Source organism: Homo sapiens, chromosome 3, assembly GCF_000001405.40.
Source record: "Homo sapiens chromosome 3, GRCh38.p14 Primary Assembly".
NCBI classification, from domain to species: domain Eukaryota; kingdom Metazoa; phylum Chordata; class Mammalia; order Primates; family Hominidae; genus Homo; species Homo sapiens.
In genome coordinates this window covers 10,837,520-10,856,328 of record NC_000003.12, presented here as the reverse complement: position 1 = coordinate 10,856,328, position 18,809 = coordinate 10,837,520, and the positions used below count along the sequence as shown (strand labels likewise).

Below are 18,809 nucleotides of genomic sequence, written 5' to 3'. Positions count from 1 at the left end.
CTCTTCCCATCATTTCCCTGCTTCCCTCTCAACCCGCAGTCTCCCTCCATTTGCTCCTGGTTATCAGACAAGGGTTTCACACCTAGAGCTGCACACTCAGAATCACACACAATTTCTATCAATCCTTTCTCGATTGTCACTCCTCTTCCCCAAGAGAAGTTTTCCCTCTGCTCTTCCCTTAGCCACCGCCAGGGGTGAGGGAGAAGAGCAATTGGTTGAGTGACTGCCACGAAATGCTAGCATTTTCACCCCAATCAATCAAATGGGTCCTAGCACATGACAGGCATCACAGACTTGCTGGCTGATGGAATCAATCAACAAGTGACCACTCATAGCACATCCCATGTGGCTCACACTAAGAATAAAAAAATACATGCTCTAAGAGTCCCTGGCATGCAATGGGTTCCCAATCAACATAGGCAAAGAGGAAGGAAAACCGAAGAGAGGAAAGAGGGAAAAGGGAAGGAGGTTAGCTTTCTGGTCATTGTACACATGGTTTCTTTTCCCTGGAATCCCCTATTTCTCCTGCTTCCGGGAAATTAACAACTATCCACATTTCACCCCTCAGCTTAATGCCACTGGCTCCCCAGGGTCACGTTTATCTTTACCACAGGGAGATTTTGTAACTGTCTGTTTACTAGTCTGACTCACACTCCAGCCTGTAATCTTGTTTAGAGTTGATACCTGCAGTGCCTGGCACAGGACATGGTACACAGGACAGGCTTAATATTTGTCTCATGGAGTAAGAAATCTCCCTGGACCCACAAGCTTGACAGAGACACAAGAGGCAAACAGGGATGCTCAGCTGGATGCTGCTGCTGATAAGAGCTATGGCAGGAGTGAGGAGACAGCCAAGAAGGATGAGGGTGGGAGAAGTCAGGGAAGGCTTCCTGCAGGAGTAGAAGACAGCAGGGTGTGGCAGAAACAAAAGGGATGAAGAAGTAAGGGATGGAGAATCTGGGTCTGTACAGTATTCTAGAGGCAGAAAGTTGCTCTGGATTCATTATCATAGTTCTGCCACTAAAAATTGATCTCAAGCCCATTACTTAAACCTTTAGAGCCTCAGTTTTTCACATCTGTAAAATGGGGTGATTAGTATCTACTCCACAGGATGCTTGTATCAGCAGGAGATATTTTACTTAGCTAATTGTCACCTGTGTGTTCTGAAGCATATCACAGCCTCATTAGTAAAGTTAGAGGACTGAATTTGCTGATTAGCCCTCTGTCTATCCATCCACATAGCTATTCACTGCCCCCCTACCCATCTCCCAATTCCCTACCTATCTACCTACCCACCTACTCACCCACCCATCCACCCATCCATCTACTCACCCACCCATCCATCGACTTACCCACCCATTCACCCATCCATACATCTACTCACGCACCCATCCATCTATTCACCTATTCACCATTTTTTATTTAGGCACCTGGTTCAGCACCAGGCACTCTGTCCTTCGGGAGCTTATTTTACAATGGGACAAACATGTGTATAAACATACAGTAAAGTTATAAATATACTAAGTCTACACTAGAGGAGGTAGGAAGACTGGACTGAAACAGAGAAGGACCTTGAATGCTGGACTCAGGAGTGATATTAAGGCAAGGACTCTGGAACCAGACAGATCTGCATCCGCGTCTTGGCTCTATTACTTACTGTCTCTGAGACCTCGAATGGCTTCCTTAGTCTCTCTCTGCCTTATAAAAGGCGGGAGGGGGATAACAGCATGAGACCCTGGAAGGCTGCTGGGAAAATTAACAGAAAGGATGCTGCATGGTGCTTAGCACAACGCCTGCCTGTGGCCAAGCCTCCAGCAGTGTTAGCTCTGATTACACATGTTAAGGATTAGAGGGCAACACATAAACAATGAGAGAATGTATGGTGGTGGGATTGGAGGAGACAATTCTGTCTTTTTATTTATTTATTTATTTATTTTTTGAGATGGAGTTTCACTCTTGTTGCCCAGGCTGGAGTGCAGTGGTGCGATCTCGGCTCACTGCAACCTCTGCCTCCTAGGTTCAAGTGGTTCTCCTGCCTCAGCCTCCCAAGTAGCTGGGACTACAGGCATGCACCACCATGCCTGGCTAATTTTTTGTATTTTTAGTAGAGACGGGGTTTCGCCATGTTGGCTAGGCTGGTCCTGAACTCCTAACCTCAGGTGATCCGCCTGCCTCAGCCTCCCAAAGTGTTGGGATTACAGACGTGAGCAAGACTATTCTTTTGCTTAGAAATAGCTTGTTAAAAATATTGTTTGGACAATTTTTAAAAATCAGTGTCAGTGCCACAGGTGATGGGGAGTTACTGGTGGGTTCTGAGGGGAGAGCTACACAATGAAAGCCGTACAGAAGGAAGCTGAGTCTGGCCACGGTACACAAGAAAGCCAGGGCCCTGGCAGGGTGCACAGTAGGGTGGCCCACTGGTGCTACCATCCAGGTGTGAGGCAGGGCATGCCTGCATGAAGGTGCTGTGCTGGCTCTGTCACGTGCAAGGTGGCTAAGGCTATGGTCCTCAGTCATCCATCAAACATGAATCAAGGTGTTGCCGTGAAGGTATTTCATAGATGTGATTCACATCCATGGTCAGGTGACTTTATGTCCAGGAGATTATGTGGGATAACCGGGGTGGGCCTCAGTCACTCAGATGAAAGGCCTATAGAGCAGAGCTGAGACTTCCCCAGTGACGAAGAAGTTCTGCCTGTGAATAGCAGCTTCAGCTGTGTAGAGAGTCCCAGCCTGCCCCTTCTGATGGCCTGTCCCCACAGTCACCAATTCCTCCACTCGAGCTCTTCCTCTATATCTCCTACTGGTTTTGCGCCGCTGCTTGGATGCCAACTGACATGGGTGGCAACAGGGATGGAGGGGAGGGGTGGCCTTGGCAGGTTCTCTGGAAGGGGACCCAGCTCCACATCAATCCCGACTGCACTGGGGTGAGTGGGCCATTGCCCGCAGGTGACAGCAAGCGGGGGTGCCCCTGCAGCATGCCAGCTGCGGCTTAGCCATCCAGTCCCAGGCTCATGTCATCTCTCTCTGCTACCTCAAATGCCCCTTTGAGCTTTTGCTCATCACTGTTCCTGCCACATCTGTCCAAGGCAGCTCACAGGTCCCCCTGCCTGGAGCTGCCCAGACTTGCTGGCCTCGGGGTACCTTTCTCCACTGCAGCCCACCCTGGCTGCCAGGCTCACCCGACTCAATCATCCCAGCCTGGGCTCGTTCTTTCACAAGTAACGACACTCCACTGCCACTGCACGTGTCATGCTTTAACCCTGACAGAAGGGGAAACTACGGCCCAGAGAGGTGAAGCAGCCCTGGATGGCCCACGCTAACTCACACAGTTGGCAAGTGGCGGGGCAGGGCTCCTGACTCCCAGCTCCTGCTCATTCCACTCCCCTTGGCCACCATCTGTGCCTCATCTTATCTTATTTCCCCAGTTCCTGAGAGCTAATCATTCTTTTACCGTTCCCCATAGCACCTAGCACAGAGCTAATATTCAGTAGATACAAAATAAATTCCCCACTCGTTTCTGGCTTAGTTTTCCAAAGCACTGTGCCTCATCCTGCACTGAGAGCAAAACCACTTTGATTATTTGGTGCCTGCCAAACAGGAGGGTGGCTTCCCGTTTCCCAGGGAGACCCATGTGCACGGGGACAGCGCTGCACAGGCGCCAAGTGCCAGGAGGGGCTTGGTAAGGGTTAACTGCAGCACCACTGCCAGCCCCCGCCACTGGGACTCCTGGCCTTCTCCAGGCCACCAGCCACAGAACCCCCTCCCACCCAGCAATCACTGGGACTTTGGGGGGCCTTTGTGCTTTAATAAAGACGGTATTACCAAGTCGCAAAACTTCCCTCCTTTCCAAGCTTCCTTGCTGCCAGGGTTCCCGCTAAAGGTGAAGCCCTGTCATTCAAGGCCAGAGAAAGGGCTGAATCAAGATGCTGAACTCCTTTGACTTAAAGTCACAATCTACTGCTCTCCCCAAACCACAGTGGTGTGAGAAGTGCTCCCAACGGCATGGCGGCTTCGGTGTACTTGGGTTCAGGGCCCCGGGGCAGGGGCTCTCCTGTTTGGCCGCCCAGGCATTCTGCATGCATCTCATGAACGTTCTAGTTTCCTCTCTGAATGCAGACATCGGCCCTGGCCGCTGGGAGAGTCCTGCCACCAAGGCAGCTCTCCTCTTGCTTGAGACTGCAACAAAGGCCACTTGAGGGCCCAGAGACAGCGCTCTCAGTTCCTTTCCTGGGCCTGTCCTCTGCTCTTTCACACATCCCTTCCTTTTATTTCCCCAGTCCCCCTCTACTCCTGCTTTATGCCTCATTGAGCCATTAAACACTTTATAGGGTGCTCCTGTAGAATAAGTTTTCTGTGTGGGGCTCCTGATGGCTCTCCCCGCTGGTGCTCCAGCCCACCTTGGTGGCAGTGGGGGAGGGGAGGAGCCTCCTGCAGCCCCTCTGAGAAATGCCTCCATCTGTAGATCCAAGACCTGCTGGCTTACCCCATGGTAAGCAGCAGGTGCCCTCACCTGCAAAAACTGCCCCCTGCCCAGTGGCCAAGGGCCCCTCCCAGCTCCTCCCTGACCCTGATGGGCTCTGACAGCATCCCCCCATGATCTTAAGGCTTACGCACCATGCACATTTGTTTTCTCATCTGTGAAATGGGGACGATATTCGCACCTTCTGCATAGGGTTGTTGTGAGCACTGAATGAGTTAAGGCCTTGGAGCAGGGCCTGGAGGGAAGAAGGTGCCACTCAGGCCTTGGCCTTGCAATGACCATCCTCCAGACAACACGATCTGCTTAAGAGTCCTGTGCCACCTCCAATTCCTCTACTTGTGGGTGAATGAAGGAAGGGAAAGAAAAAAATCAATTCAAGGCTCTTTGCAGCTGTTTCTGTGTGAGTGTGTCTGTCTGTCTGTGTGTGTGGTTTTTTTTTTTTTCCTTGCCTCGGTGTCCTAGAGCTTTGAAAAGAATAAAAACAGAGCCCCAAAGCAGTGAAAAGGCATGATTCTTCTTAAAATCCCAGCTAATCCTGCAGCTTCCTTTAAAGTGGCAATAGGAGGAGGCGGGGAAGGGACCAGAATTGTTGCTGCAGCACCCTCCCCTCCCAGTCACTGCTCCTGGAGACCAGGAAATGAGGGGGAAAAATCCATAAATCATCCACCAAGAGAAGGACAGAAGAAGGAACCAGGCAGTAGGGAGAGCAAGGAACAGGAGCCAGCTGGGGAGGGTGTAGGGGCAGCGTGGGGGGACACTCTGACTGTCCGCTGGGCAGGGGTGGCTGTCTGCAGAGGGCAGTGTCCAGGCCAAAGGCCGGGTCAACCACCCCTGTTCAAAAGGCAAAGGACAGCAAGGTCTCAAAATCTTATATGGAACCAGGCCCTGCAGAACAAGGATGAAACCCTGAGAGGTGTCTCTGATCTGACCAGCTCTCTCCATTCTCCTGCCACCTCCTCCCTGGTCCTATGCTAACAGGGCTCCCTGCCACAGCCCCACCACTCCCCACCAGTCCATTCACAACAAGCAGCCACAGCCAGCTTGCAGGGATGAAAATAGACCGTGCTATCCCTGCTGGAAAACCTGTAGTGGTTCTCCAACACTCTTAGAAAAAATTCGATGACGCCTGACCCCCGCCGCTTCCCTTCTGATCTCATGCCACCATCTTTCTCAATCACTGCCTTTACTTTGCCGCACAAGTTCACCAAGTCCTTCCCACTTGAGACTTCACATGTGCCACTCGCTGGCCCCATCCCATCCTTCCCATCACAGAGGCCATCCCTGACCTCTCTGAGGAGGTTACCTGCCCTCAATGCTTCCCTCTCCCAGCCCTGTGCTCCCTCTCACTATACTTATGTTGCTTGTTTATTTTCCATCTTTCTACCCCATGGTAAGCCCCATGGTCTGGTTCACTCGCCATTGAAAAGAATCCCCAGCCTGGTGCCTGGCATAGCAGGTACACAGTAAACACTTGCTGGGTGAGTGAATGAATGAGCGAGCAAATGAGCAACCTCTCTAGCAAGTGAACATGTGGACATGGGAAATATCCCATTTGGGACTGGAAGGCTGGAGTGAAATTTTTAAGGATCCTTTAGAAAAGCTCTCTACTGAAAACCATCATGTTGCTTTTTAATATTTGAAATAGCTCATACTTTGGGTGATAGCAATTTACATATTAGCTTCTTGTCAAGTGAGAATTTGTTTGCATAAATTATTTTAATAAATTAGACCATCAGTCCACAAATTTTGTCTATAAAGGACCAGGTCACGGATATATTAGGTTTTATGGGTCACATAGTCTCTACTGCAATGACTCCACATTGCTTCCGTAGAAGCACAAAAACATCCAGGGATAATATATGGGTGAATGGATGTGGCTGTGTTCCATTAAAACTTTATTTACAAAAGCAAGCAGCAGACTGGATTTGGCCCTAAAACCACAGTTGGCCAATCCCTGGATTGGATTAAGGCCTACCAAAACCACAAGAGAAGGACACACAGTAACGAAAAGGGTTTTTTTTCGTTTTTTTTTTTTTTTTTTTTTTTTTTTTGGCTTCAACAAGTATGCACAGAGATACTAGAAAAATATCACAAAACCCTAATATTGCTGTACATGCTTTGGCCTAAGATAGAATTTACAATTTTGAATTTATGTGAAATTGTTGTTTCATAGAATATAAAGCATTTCAGTTGTATCATTCTGCATGTCTGCAATGTTTGTACAAATGGGAAATTCTAAGGGCAATTTTCATTCTGGAGGTGCTAGGGAGCTAATGAAGGTTCAATGTTTCTTGAATATGTGCGTGGGAAACAAAAATGGAGAGGACAGGATGTTTTTGGTATTTTTCTTTTTAAACAAAAACAGACTTGGTCAATAATTGGATGAGAGGTATCCAACATGGCTGAGTGGTTTCAGGCCCAGGAGACCAGGAGAAGGAGCTGGTGACAGGGATGGGCAAGATGGATTCAGTTGATGAAAAAAAACAATGACATAGGAAAATCACAAAGACGTCTCTACTTTCTGGTCACTTAATTTCAATTATCCCCATTCCAATTATCCAAAGTGAAACTTTGTATCATCCAGAAGATACTGTCTGGAAGTTATCTCCTGAAGAAAGCAAGCACTTTAGAATCCTGTGTTTTCTCAGGACTTAATATACAATTGAGAAAGGCTTTTTTTTCCATAGGAGATTTCTGAAATTTCCAATAGTGTCTAGAGTGAGGGAAAATATCTATGAAGAACTAAAACTGCAGCTATTTTATTGGAACGGGGAGATAAACTGCTTAATGAGCACCTACTGTGAGCTCAGAACTATGATCAATGCATTTGTGTTCAATCTGCACAGTAACTCCAAGCTGGAGATACAGAACAGATGAAGACTGGGCTGAAGGAAGGCAGCCTGGGTCTGAATTCCAGCTTGGCTCCTTCCAAGTGGGTAGCTTTGGACAAATCTTGCAACCTCTCTGGGCCTTATTTGTAAAATAAATTTGGTCCTCAAAACCAAGATGCCTCCCAACTCTGACAGGCTACATTCTAATATTCTGGAGCCATTCTAATATTCTCAGCCATGAGAATCCCCAAGTTGTATTTTTTAATGCTGGAGCTAATACTCAGAGTTAAACTGCTTACTTGTCTGAACCTCACCTTAGCAGGTCGCATGCTCTGCGGAGACAAGGCTGTCCAGTGTCTCTCTGGTGTATCCCCGGCACCTCCCAAGGAGCCCAAAGCACAGGGGGAATTCACTGATTTCACAAATGTCTATTAAGCAACAGTTAGTGGCAGGCATCTTGCTACCTACTGAAGCTGGGGTGTAGGGAATCTCCCTCCAGCTCAGAATAGCTGCTTCTGAGCATACAGATTGCTCATCAGACCCTGGGGTTGGGGAAAATCCCACATGCCTAGCATCAAAAGGTTGTGAGGCATACTGGGAGGTGCCCAAGGGGGTTTGTGGAGAAGAACATGTATGAATGTTGTCCCAGCAAGGAGATGCTAATGCCAGCGCTTCCTGGACTTCACCTCTGGTGTTCTTATAGCCCCATTTGGGATCAACTTATTCGTGACCTGATCTCAAATCCTCACTTAGAAAATCGCCATAGTCCCCACATGGCAGATGCAGGCCAGGTCTACTGATGAAAGGCCAGGTCTACAGTGTCTGCCTCCCTGAACAGGTGAAATGCTCACTAAATTGACTTAAAGTTGGGGATATTGTTTTAATATTCCTTGGAGATAGGAAGGGTCTGGGGACTTTTTCTTGAATTAACGAACATTTATTATAAATGGAAATTTGTGCTGAGGCTTGAGTATGGGCAGCAAGCTGGAACTTCAGGGAAGAGATGAAGAGGGAACACAAAGCCAGTTGCAGCTGGACAATAGCTGGGAGATGGGTTTCTTCCTACTCGAACAGCCTTGTGAAAAAGGATCTGGCTAGGGTCCCACAGGCCAGGGGCAGGGGTGACCTCTGCCCACGTGGGAAGTTTCAAATGACCTGATGTTTTATTTTTTGCTGTTTTTGTACAGAACTCCAAAAAACCTTTGGATGCTGGGCTCGTCTCCAAAGTGAAGCAAGTCATAACCAGGAACAAAAGTGCCAGATCCTCCCCTGAAAAGCTTACCTATCAATCCACGGACTTCGGGTTTCTCTAAACTGCCGGATGTGCCCCCACAGAACCTCATCATTAATAACGAGCTGGGAAACTGGGGACCAGGCTCTCACTCCTGGCCTGACATTTATTCATTATGTGACCTCGGGCAAGGCTCTTCCACTCTCTGAGCCTCAGTTTCTTCATCCATAAAATAAGGGCAGAGGCAGACCAAACCATTTCTAAGGATTTTTACAGCTCCAGCAAACCGCATCCCATCCAAGACACTAATGCTGGCCTTAGGCACAGGACACATGGAGGAGAAACCCAGTCTTCAGGAAAATACTTAATTGGCTCATCTGGTTTCAGCATTTCCCTTAAAAGTACTGTTTAGAAAGAGCTGCAACCAATAATCATTGAGCACCTACTATGTGCTATCTCATTAAATACCTCTTTATAACCAGTCCATAAGAAAATCGCCATAGTCCCCACATCGCAGATGACAGGTATGACAGTAGCCTATCCAGGACATAGACTGTATGGTCCCCAATGCTGGAAGTTAATCCCAATCTTCTGCTTCCCACCGGAGGGTCCTTGAGCAAATTATTGTATCCCTCCATGCCTCAGTTTCCTCATCTCTAAAATGGAGATAATGATAGCCCCCATCTCATGGGGCTGTTCAAAGCCTAAATGGAGCAGGCATGTGAAGCACAAAGGAACCACTCATAAATATTAACCATTACTACTGATAATTATCATACTGCCATCACTACCACTTCTACCAGAGACGAGAAAAAGGAGGTTCAGGGAAGATGTGTGAAAGGACACCACTCAAAACAACACAATGTTCTACATCTTAATCGAGAGTCCAGGGAGAGGCAAGGAGGGAGTAGCCTGGGGTCAGTGTTGAGGCAGGGTCACTATGCAACTATGGCCAGGCTGCCCGCCCTCCCTTAGCCCCAGGTTCTCCACTGGTAAGGTAGAGGCAGCGGCTCCCCAGATTGTAAGGATCTGCAGCACTTGCAAGTTGCCGGGGAGTGGAAGGCAGTGGATAAGTGTTCACTCCCTTGCCTTCCCCATAAGCCTCTTGTGAAATCTCCAAGATCATAGCTGTCTGCCCTTCCTCAAACTCAGTTCCTGCATTAGAATTCTCCAACGCTCAGACTTAATCGCCCAGTCAGCAGCAAAGGGCCTCACTAAGGGACTGAGTCTTCTCCTTATGGCTAAAGTGAAACCGCACTGCTGTAGCCCACAGCCTGGAGCCTGCAGCTCAAGGCCATATGAGGTCCCGGAATAGCCTAAGCATGTCCATACACAAACCTTGTGCAGGCAACCTCTCCTGCACCCATGCACAGCCACCACCCCGCCAAGCCCCACAGGCCTCTGTGTCAACTCCCATGAGGTGGTAACCACAGCAAAAGTAGTAATAATACCAACCATGAAACTTCCTCCCTTCTCTTCACAGTTCACAAAGCACTTTCATGTATTGTCTGGGTAGGGAAGAGGCTGTGTTTTACTCATCTTTAGAAACCCATTGAATAATGCTAAGTATATAGTAAATACTCAGAAACAATGACTTGAATTATCTTTATAATGAGATTTTTAAAAATTGCCACTTACTCAGCATTCACTATTACTTACTCACTCTGCTGAGCATGGACCATACTCAACTCTCCTTGCATTTCATCCTCACAACCACCCCATGTGGTGGTAAGCTCACTTATCAATCCTGTCTTACAGAAGAGGAAAGTGAGGCTCAGAGAAGTTGAGCAACATGCCCAAGGTCATGACTAGAGAGTGACAGACCTGGGGTTTGAATCCTTGCTCTTATTACCTCCAGCTTTTTTCCTGGAAGAGGCAGCAAGGAGGAGGATGGGAGACTGTGAGTGGAGTCTGAAGAAGTAGATCAATAATGACACAATTTTATAGTTGGAAAAAGAAAAATCCTATTGTCTTCATGATACAAACTACAAAAAGCAAATATAAGCAAAATCACCTTGGCTGAAGGAACATGAGAGTCTCTGCTCTACTTTCTGTGGTCCCTCTGCATCTGTGTGGCTGTTTTAAGTGCACCCTCAGCTTCCAGATAGCCCGTAGCATGGAGCACCTTGGCTTCCTTCCTGCAGATCCGCCCACCTCAAACTTTCTAGCAGTTTCTTCTTCATCCTACCCACCATTGTGGGAGCTGAGGGGAACATCTTTTGGAAAAGGGCCCAGAGTTGTTAAGTTCCTGTTTCCTTGGAGGTTTTATCTCCAGCAGCTGCCCCAGCCAAGAACTTAGAGTTTATGAGCAACTGCCTATGGGAAGGAGGCTGGCAAGGAGGGATGTGGTCAGTGCAACCCAGGCATGAGAGACGCTTCATTTCCCTCTTTTTCGTAAGAAAAAGATGAACAGCAAAATGAGGAAACCATTGGCATTGATACTCAGCCACAGGATTGGGGGTGATATGGAATGGTGGGGACTGTGGCCAACCAGAGCCCCCTGGAAGGAGATGGCAGCTGCTCAGTTCAAACACATGCCACTGTGTGGGCAGGCAAGTCCAGGGTTGCCAAATCTTACTTTCCAAGGGATGCCAGAATCAGATTTCTTTTTACCACATGAAATCTCCTGATTTCTAAATGTTGTCAACGAATTCTTCCCCTCTCCGCCTTTTGAAAGTAAACACAGAAGTGAGTTGGACTTGGCCACAAGCTGCATGTTTCTAACCTCTGTACTGATCCTTGCAGTGCACAGCATGCTCACTCCCCAGATGTCCCCATGGTCCCCTCTACTTCCCAGCCCCTGTGCAGTAGGTGACACCGTGTCTCAGGTTCTGGCCAACAGCCTGTGAGTGGAAGAGCCATGTGTAACTCCCAGGCCATGGCAGTTAAAAGCTAGCCTCCTCCAGTTTCTCTTCCCTGGTGAGGCAGCAACCCTGGAGGCTGCATGGTACAGGTGGCACAGCAAGGCTGCAAGATGAAGCAGCTGCTCTTCCCTCCAGACTCCAGGTGAGGGAGAAATACACCCCTGAGATCTTGGGGTCTGTCAGTGGAGGCAGCCAGCATCACCTGCCCTCACACACACCTAGAACCCTGTCTTCATTACCAAAGAACCCTTGTAGTAGTTCAGCATTTCCCAGTTTTCAAAGCACTTTAACCCCCTTACCTTGTATAACTCTCAACTCAATAAGACAGACAGGGCAAGGCTTTATTATCTCATAGTCACGTACACTGAGGCTCAGAAGATAAAACTGAACTGTCCTGAGGTGGGCGGCCAATAAGTGGTGAGGGTGGGTAGAGCTCACTCTGGTCCAGTGTTCCTCCCCGCTCCCAACTTAAGTGCTGGCCTCTGCAACATGAACTCCCTGTTACTCTCTAGGTCATCTGTGAGCTCGTGCCTTCCCCTGCCACGGTTAGCTGCTTGAAGATCGACCTCTTACCTTTCCTGTAGACTTGGTCCCCTTCCAGATACAGAAGTAACAGATGGTCCAGGCTGCCAAGAGACACAAGGCCAGCTCCCAGCGAAGGTTCCCGATGTGCTCGATCCCGTCAGAGATGGCCAGGACCCGGTGCCTGCAGAAGGGAGGGTGGAGAGTCACTGGGGCTGGGGCTGGCCCATTTTCAGCAAAGCTAGTACTGCAGAGGAGCAGGGATGGGCCCATGTGCTCATTCACCCACGTCCACCGTGGGCCAAATGTCTCCTCTGGGGAGGACTTGGGGCCTCCAAGAGGAACAAGACCCAGCCCTCTGGACCTTGGATCATGAATTCACTCTCTGGGGGAAAAGATAGGCAAGTCTGCAGATGTAGTACAAGAACAGCGTGGAAAGGGCTCCGATGGAGGATGCACCCAGCCTACCTTGGAGTTCCCAGGAGATCATATTACCAGTCATAAACATCCTATGTTCCTCCCTGAAGGGAGCCCATACATCCTGCCCTGCCAAACTTGAGGGGGGCCATTGGACTTGCTTTGAACATTGTTTGGCCAACAGGTGTCATTTCAGATAGAAGCTTCCAGAAACTGGTGGCATGGTTCTCCATCGTCTCTTCTCCCTAACTCTCCTGTCATTATGGAAGCCTGTGTCAAGACAGAGCCTTGAAAAGCCTGAGTTCCTGAGTGACCACCTGCCACTGTGTCAGAGACACAGTCTGAGCAGGAAATAAACTTTGTTGCTTGAAGCTGCTGAGCTCTTTGGGGACATTTATTACTGCAGCATAACCCAACCTATCCTGACTGCTACAGGGGGTCAGGGAGAGCTTCCTGGAAGAAGTGATATGTGAGTCAAATTGTGAAAGATAAGTGGAATTTGGTCAGAAGAAGAAGGAAGTGGAGACGGTTTTAGGTGGAAGGAACGGCATGGCCAGAAGTAGAGGATGGTGTGCTTTGGGAACAGCAAGCTGGGAGGCAGGGATCAGAAGGAAAAAGCAGGAAAGGTAAGCAGAGGCAGTAACACAGGGAGCCTTGACTATCATGCCAAAGTGTAGAGGCTTCCCAGAGGGCCCAGGCCACAGGACAGGGAGGACTCCGGGTGAGCTAAGCTAATGCCACTAGGCTCACTTCCCTCAGAACCCACCAATTCTTCAGAGTTGACGCAGGCCTGGCTCTCAGAACCCACGCTTGGGGTTTGTGTTCCTTTAAAGTCAAACTCGCCACGCTCCATATTGTGCAGAACTATGGCACCAACACAAACCCCCTCTCCAAGCTTGTTCCACGAACCCCATTCTGGCTGCCAAACCAACCCCCATCAGACCATGCCAGTCGCTTCGGCACTCTGTGAACGTCCTTTGAGAAAGGAGCTCCCATCCCACCAAGCATGAAAGCCACCCTCAGTGTCTGTCTCCCTGGGAATCCGCTTGGGGCCTGATTCTGCATTAATTACTCAATGACACCAATTAGCACTCATCTACAGGCTCCCTCCAGCCCCAGCCCCGCCAGAGAAATCAGGCAGGTCCCCAAACAAAATCAGACTGTGTGCAGCCATAGATTTACTCAAAAGGAAATCAGCTCTCACACCCATAGCCAGGAGAAGTGGGAACATCCACTTAAATACAATACACATTTACTGAGCACCTACTAGGCACCAGGCACTATGTTAGAGCCTAGGATAAAAAAAGGTAAGCATCATATGGCCCTTGCTCTCTACTAGGATAAGGTGGACCAAAAAAAGGTCCAAGTTATTTATGAAAGAAAGGAGGCAGCCATTTAATTATAGTAACAACTGTCATTTTATTTGCTTCCTATGTCTTAGCAGTCTTTGGCTTTAATTCATTTTAAAACTACAGGCCTTATTAAATGAGGCCTTTAAGAGAATCTATGAGTATAATAGAATAGCATGTCCCAGAGCATGATCCCTGGGCACCTGCCAGAAACACAAAACTTTCTGCACCCCCACCAGACCCACTGGGTCCCAACCTTTGCAAAGTGGCTCCCAAGGAGCTGCACTTTGTGATTTCCCCAAGGAGTTCTCATACACAGTAAGGCTTGAGCACCACAGAAGTAGAGTTTCTTGGTAATGAAGGAGTGATCTACAAATGCCACCTGAATCATTTTTAAACTTGTGTTTTGGAGGGAGGGAGGAGAGGGGTTTGAGGGAGGAAGTCATGGATCCCTTGAGAAGTTACCGAAGGGATGGACTTTCTCCCCAGAGAAATACACCGGCTCCCAAAATGCTGCAGGAATTTTAGGGTACCTACTGGCTCTCCTTTGCCCAGATTAAGAGCCCTGTGGGCTTACCCTGCCTTACACACGGCCACCAAAAGCATCCCCAATGCCCATCAGCTGGTGAACTATAAGGGACAACCCAGAGCTGGAAGGAATCTGGGCTGCTGCTGACGGAAACAGCCCAGGTGTACTCTGCACCAGCCCACTCCAGATGCTTAGCTTGTCACTGGAGGAACACACGAGGTCCCTACTGAGCCAGGGTGTATGCACGCGTATGCACATGCACACATGCACATACACACACACACGCACACACACACACAGACATGTGCCTTCTTGTTGAAGTAGTTGTTTTCTGAACCTGGGACCTGAAAACTGGAACCCACTTAGGGACAGAGGGAGAAAGCGGGACAGGCCCGCCAGGTACAAACTGGCTCAGATCCCCTCTCTTCTACAATGTGGATGCTGCAAATTTTTGAGTCATGCAGCCTGCTCCGGCACCCTCTCGCTTAATTGAACAATCTAATTCCCAGAATGGGAAGCAGATTACTAAAAGCTACGGAGGATGAATTGCTCTTTTGTTCTACCAGACACTATTTGAAAACATCCTCAAATTATTTTCCTTAGGTTTTACCAACGCTGACTTTAACTAGGAACAGACCTTTGGTTTCCAAAGGAAAGGGGGCTCAGGGGCCAGATTCTCAGCCTGCAGGGCAGTGGGGTTGTTTTGAAACCCACAAGGGCAGCCTTTGAGAGGATGGGGGCTGGGGCACTCAACTCCGGAGACTTGGAGAAGGCACAGCTCTTCCTGGGAAAAAGCTTTCTTAATGAGCCTCCCCCATGAAATGCTGGGACAGAAGAAAGGTCTGAATAAGGAAGAGTTTGCTGCCAACACCCTGGCCAAAAAAGACCCAGAGACAGACCTCCCCCGACACTGTTCAGGGAGCGGGAAATGCTGAAGCCTAGATGGGGCTCTGCAGAGGGATCCATTTACATAAGTAATATTTAGTGTGTACCTACTATGTGCCAGGCCCTAAAGCAGATTCTTCATGAAGCACCCTTTTCAGGCCATAGTAGAGTATTTCTGGAGCTTTCCACCCAGAAGCTGCTCAAATCCCAGCCCTGCTCCTTACCAGCTGCTCCACCTCGGGGAAGCGGCATCACCTCTCTGAGTCTCAGCTTCCTCATCTGTAAAATGGGAATAATGATACCTACCTTCAATGGCTTTTCAAGTATGAATGCATCTAACCCTCCCCACAGTCCTTGAGATGAGCACAATTATCATCACCATTTCAACGACAGTGAACCTGAGGTGCACAGAGGCGAAGTAACTTGCCCAAACTCACATCCTCAGCAAGAAACAGAGCTTGGATTTGAGCCCAGGGATCCTGGCTCCAGAGCCCACACTTTCAGCCTTGATTCCTCCATAACCCTAACGTCACCTGCCACTTTCCCTTCTTAACAAATTAAAGCTACGGTAAATGCATACCCCAAAGCTGCCTTACATGTCTTTGTGTACTAGGAGAGAGGATTGTACGGAACATGGCATTCACGCATTTAGTAATTTATTTAAACAATACTTACGAAAGCGTCATCAGTGTGCCAGACACAGAGCTAAGCCTGGGGGTCTTTAAAGAGCCCGTGGTCTAGTGGAGAAGACAGATAAGGAAATAGCAGCATGTGGAGAGGGTGGGCACAGAGAAAGGTGGGGGAAGCTCCCAGGCATAGCAGGAGACCCTTGTGCAGATCAGTATCAGAGTGTGGGGTTGGGGGTCCTGAAGGGTAGAAGGAAAGTTAGCAAAGAAGTGGGGGGCATATGCAGGAGAAAGGCCCCCAAGGGCAAAAGCCAGGAGGCTGGGGAGAACACCACGAGGCCAAAGAAGGGCATGGTGGGCTAGGTGAGTGCAGCTAGGGCTGGGTGAGAAGTAGGGTGAGGAGGCGGCCACATGGGGAGCAGGGGCTAGACTGTGAGCCTTGCTGAGGGGCCGTGGCTGCTTTCTGTGGATGACAGAAGCCTAGGGAAGTGGTCAACAGTGGTGAGTCCCCATCAGATGTGTGTTTTAGAACACTCTAGCTGCCATGGGAGGAATGAACGGTCAGGGTGGGGCAGAGGAGTCTGCCTCCATTTGAGCAAGCAATAGGGAAGGCAATAGTCCTGGAGAGGAATGGGTGACTGGAGAGCAGCAGAGGCACAAGAGGACTGCCTGGGGCAGCCAGCAGCAGGAAGAGCCAGGGCTAGGCTGACACCAGGCTCACGGCATGGATCCTTGGATGGGTAGGGTGGGTCTTTCGCTGAGCAAGAGTGAAGTGGTGCTTGGAATAGAGGAAGAGATCATGGCCAATCATTCTTTCAGATAAGATGATTTGGAGGTGTTGGCAAGACACTCAGGTTGCTGCAATGCCCAGAGGCTACTGGGTCTCCGAATGCCACCCAGAAAAGACGTGCAGACAGAGGATTCATACTTGAGCCCTCAGCCTTTGGGGTATCCTGGGAGACCTGAAGAAGGGGGAAAGATGGGGCCTGCGACCAAGCCCCCACAACCCCAACATCTCAAGGCAGCAAAAGGAAGGGAGTAGCCCTTGGAGAAGCAGGGAAGGAGTGGGCAGAAAGTCAGGGGAGCAACCCAAGGAGGGGTATCCTCAAGGCAGAGGGAGGGGCATCTCCAGCAGGCAAGTAGCCGACCTGCAAACGCTGCAGGCCAGCCTAGTGAGACAGGGCAATGCCTGCAGGACTTGGGACCAGGAGTGGGGAGGTCAGGAGCCACTGTTTGGTCTTAGAGTAGACTGGGTCAGGGGCAGATGAGAGGTGAGACCATGAGTCACGTGGCTCCTTCAGGAAGTTTGGCTCTGATGAGTTATGGAGAGGTGGTGGCAACTAAAGGGGCCACAGGGTACAAGGGTTGTTTGATCCACATTTGTTTTGTTTTCAGGTTGGTGTAACTGGGCTAGTTCACCCGAAAGAGATGGAAAGAGGGAGAAATTTCAGAAACAGGAGGGAATGGGGGATAAGAGAGGAGGAAAAGAAGTGAAGGCCCTTACGATGGTGGCAGGGACAGAATCCACAGGTGGAGGTGTTAGGCCATCCAGGCATGGAGATGTCCTTTCTACTTGACAGGAGGGAAGGAGTGGGGGAACCAAGAGGGTAGCTCAAAAGGAAACTACATCCTTCCTTATTAAGAGACTTGGAGGAAGGAGCGGAACTGGGAGGAGATGGCAGTGATGAGAACTGTGCTCGGCACCACCTGACACCCTCCCCCATCTCGCTTCATTCAGTCCTCATGGCAACACCACTGCCAGGGCATGATTATACCCATTTCATGGATGAGGAAGCTCAGGGAGGTGAAGCAACTTGCCCAAATTGATATATATACATATTTTGAGACAGAGTCTCACTCTATAGCCCAGGCTGGGGTGCAGTGGTACAATCTCAGCTCGCTGCAACCTCCACCTCCTGGGTTCAAGTGATTCTCCTGCCTCAGCCTCCTGAGTAGCTAGGACTACAGGTGCCTGCCACCAAGCCTGGCTAATTTTTGTATTTTTAATAAAGACAGGGTTTCACCATATTGGCCAGGCTGGTCTTGAACTCCTGACCTCAAGTGATCCTCCTATCCTGGCTTCCCAAAGTGCTGAGATTACAAGTGTGAGCCAACCATGCCCTGCCCCCAGATTGAGAGTTGAAACCAAGTTCTTCTGATGCTGACACTCCCCACTGCTACACCAGAAAGTGAGCCCAAGGTTGGGAGGGTGTCTCTCACTCAGGCCTTCTCCTGTGCCTGATGGTCGAAGGACAGTGGCTGGAATCCCACACATGTTCCCTCTGGGCAGCTCACACACAGCTGCTGAGTCTGGAGAGAAGGAAACAGTCTCCCACCTGAAGCTTCCGGCTCCCAGCACAAGGGCTGGTTTGCCCAGAGAGCAGAGCTGGAGCAGAACTCCCTCCAGCCTGGCACCCAGGAGGGCCATGTGGGAATAGGTCCCAGCCCAGCCTGGGGTGGCCTCATCTTCATGTCGTGCACGGAGCCGGCAAACAGATCACCTTTCTTTAACCTGCCACTGAGGAAAGTGCTGCCAGGGCCCTGGAGACCGCCCTAAAAGCTGGCGCTGAGGGGCTGAGCTATAAATAGCCCTGCTGGTCTCCCAAAGCAACAAGCACACAAACCAAAAAAGGCCCATCACCAAAACAAATGTGCTTTCCTGGCCCCCGCCAAGGGAGCTGGCCGCTGCCTTGGGGAGTCTGCTCTCACTTCTCCAGGAAGAAAGAAGTACAGTCCCCTGCACTCTCCACATTTATGGGGGGACTCCGACAGAGTCCACGGCAGGGGCCCCTAAACCAAGCCAGGGACTCAGCCAGGCCTCCTCTGCAGGAATTTCAGGCCTCTACATCACACACTCATTCAGTCCACGCTACAGTGATGAATAAGCAGGCTGTTCCACCCTCAGGGAACTTACGGTCTAGGGGTATAAGGGTGTCAACAAGGACCGTTACAGCTTGCATTTCTCACCTGCTCACCACGCCACATGTAAAATCTGATCTGACCTTCTCTGCATCTTCTCAGGTGAGGACAGCTATTATTTCCACTCTACAGATAAGGAAACTGTGGCTCAGG

At 49.6% G+C, this 18,809-nt stretch overlaps 1 protein-coding gene across 3 annotated transcripts in view; it reads right to left on the bottom strand.

Annotated features, from left to right (window-relative positions):
- SLC6A11 (solute carrier family 6 member 11) overlaps positions 1-18,809 on the bottom strand; it is a 124,487-nt gene that overhangs the window by 84,386 nt on the left and 21,292 nt on the right. For 2 of the 3 annotated variants that reach the window (NM_014229.3, XM_011534033.3), the window contains exon 5: positions 11,983-12,115. In NM_014229.3, the coding sequence (NP_055044.1) occupies positions 11,983-12,115 (133 nt within the window). Of the gene's footprint in view, positions 1-11,982; positions 12,116-15,335; positions 15,391-18,809 lie in introns of all 3 variants that reach the window. The other variant, XM_047448764.1, reaches the window with a different exon arrangement.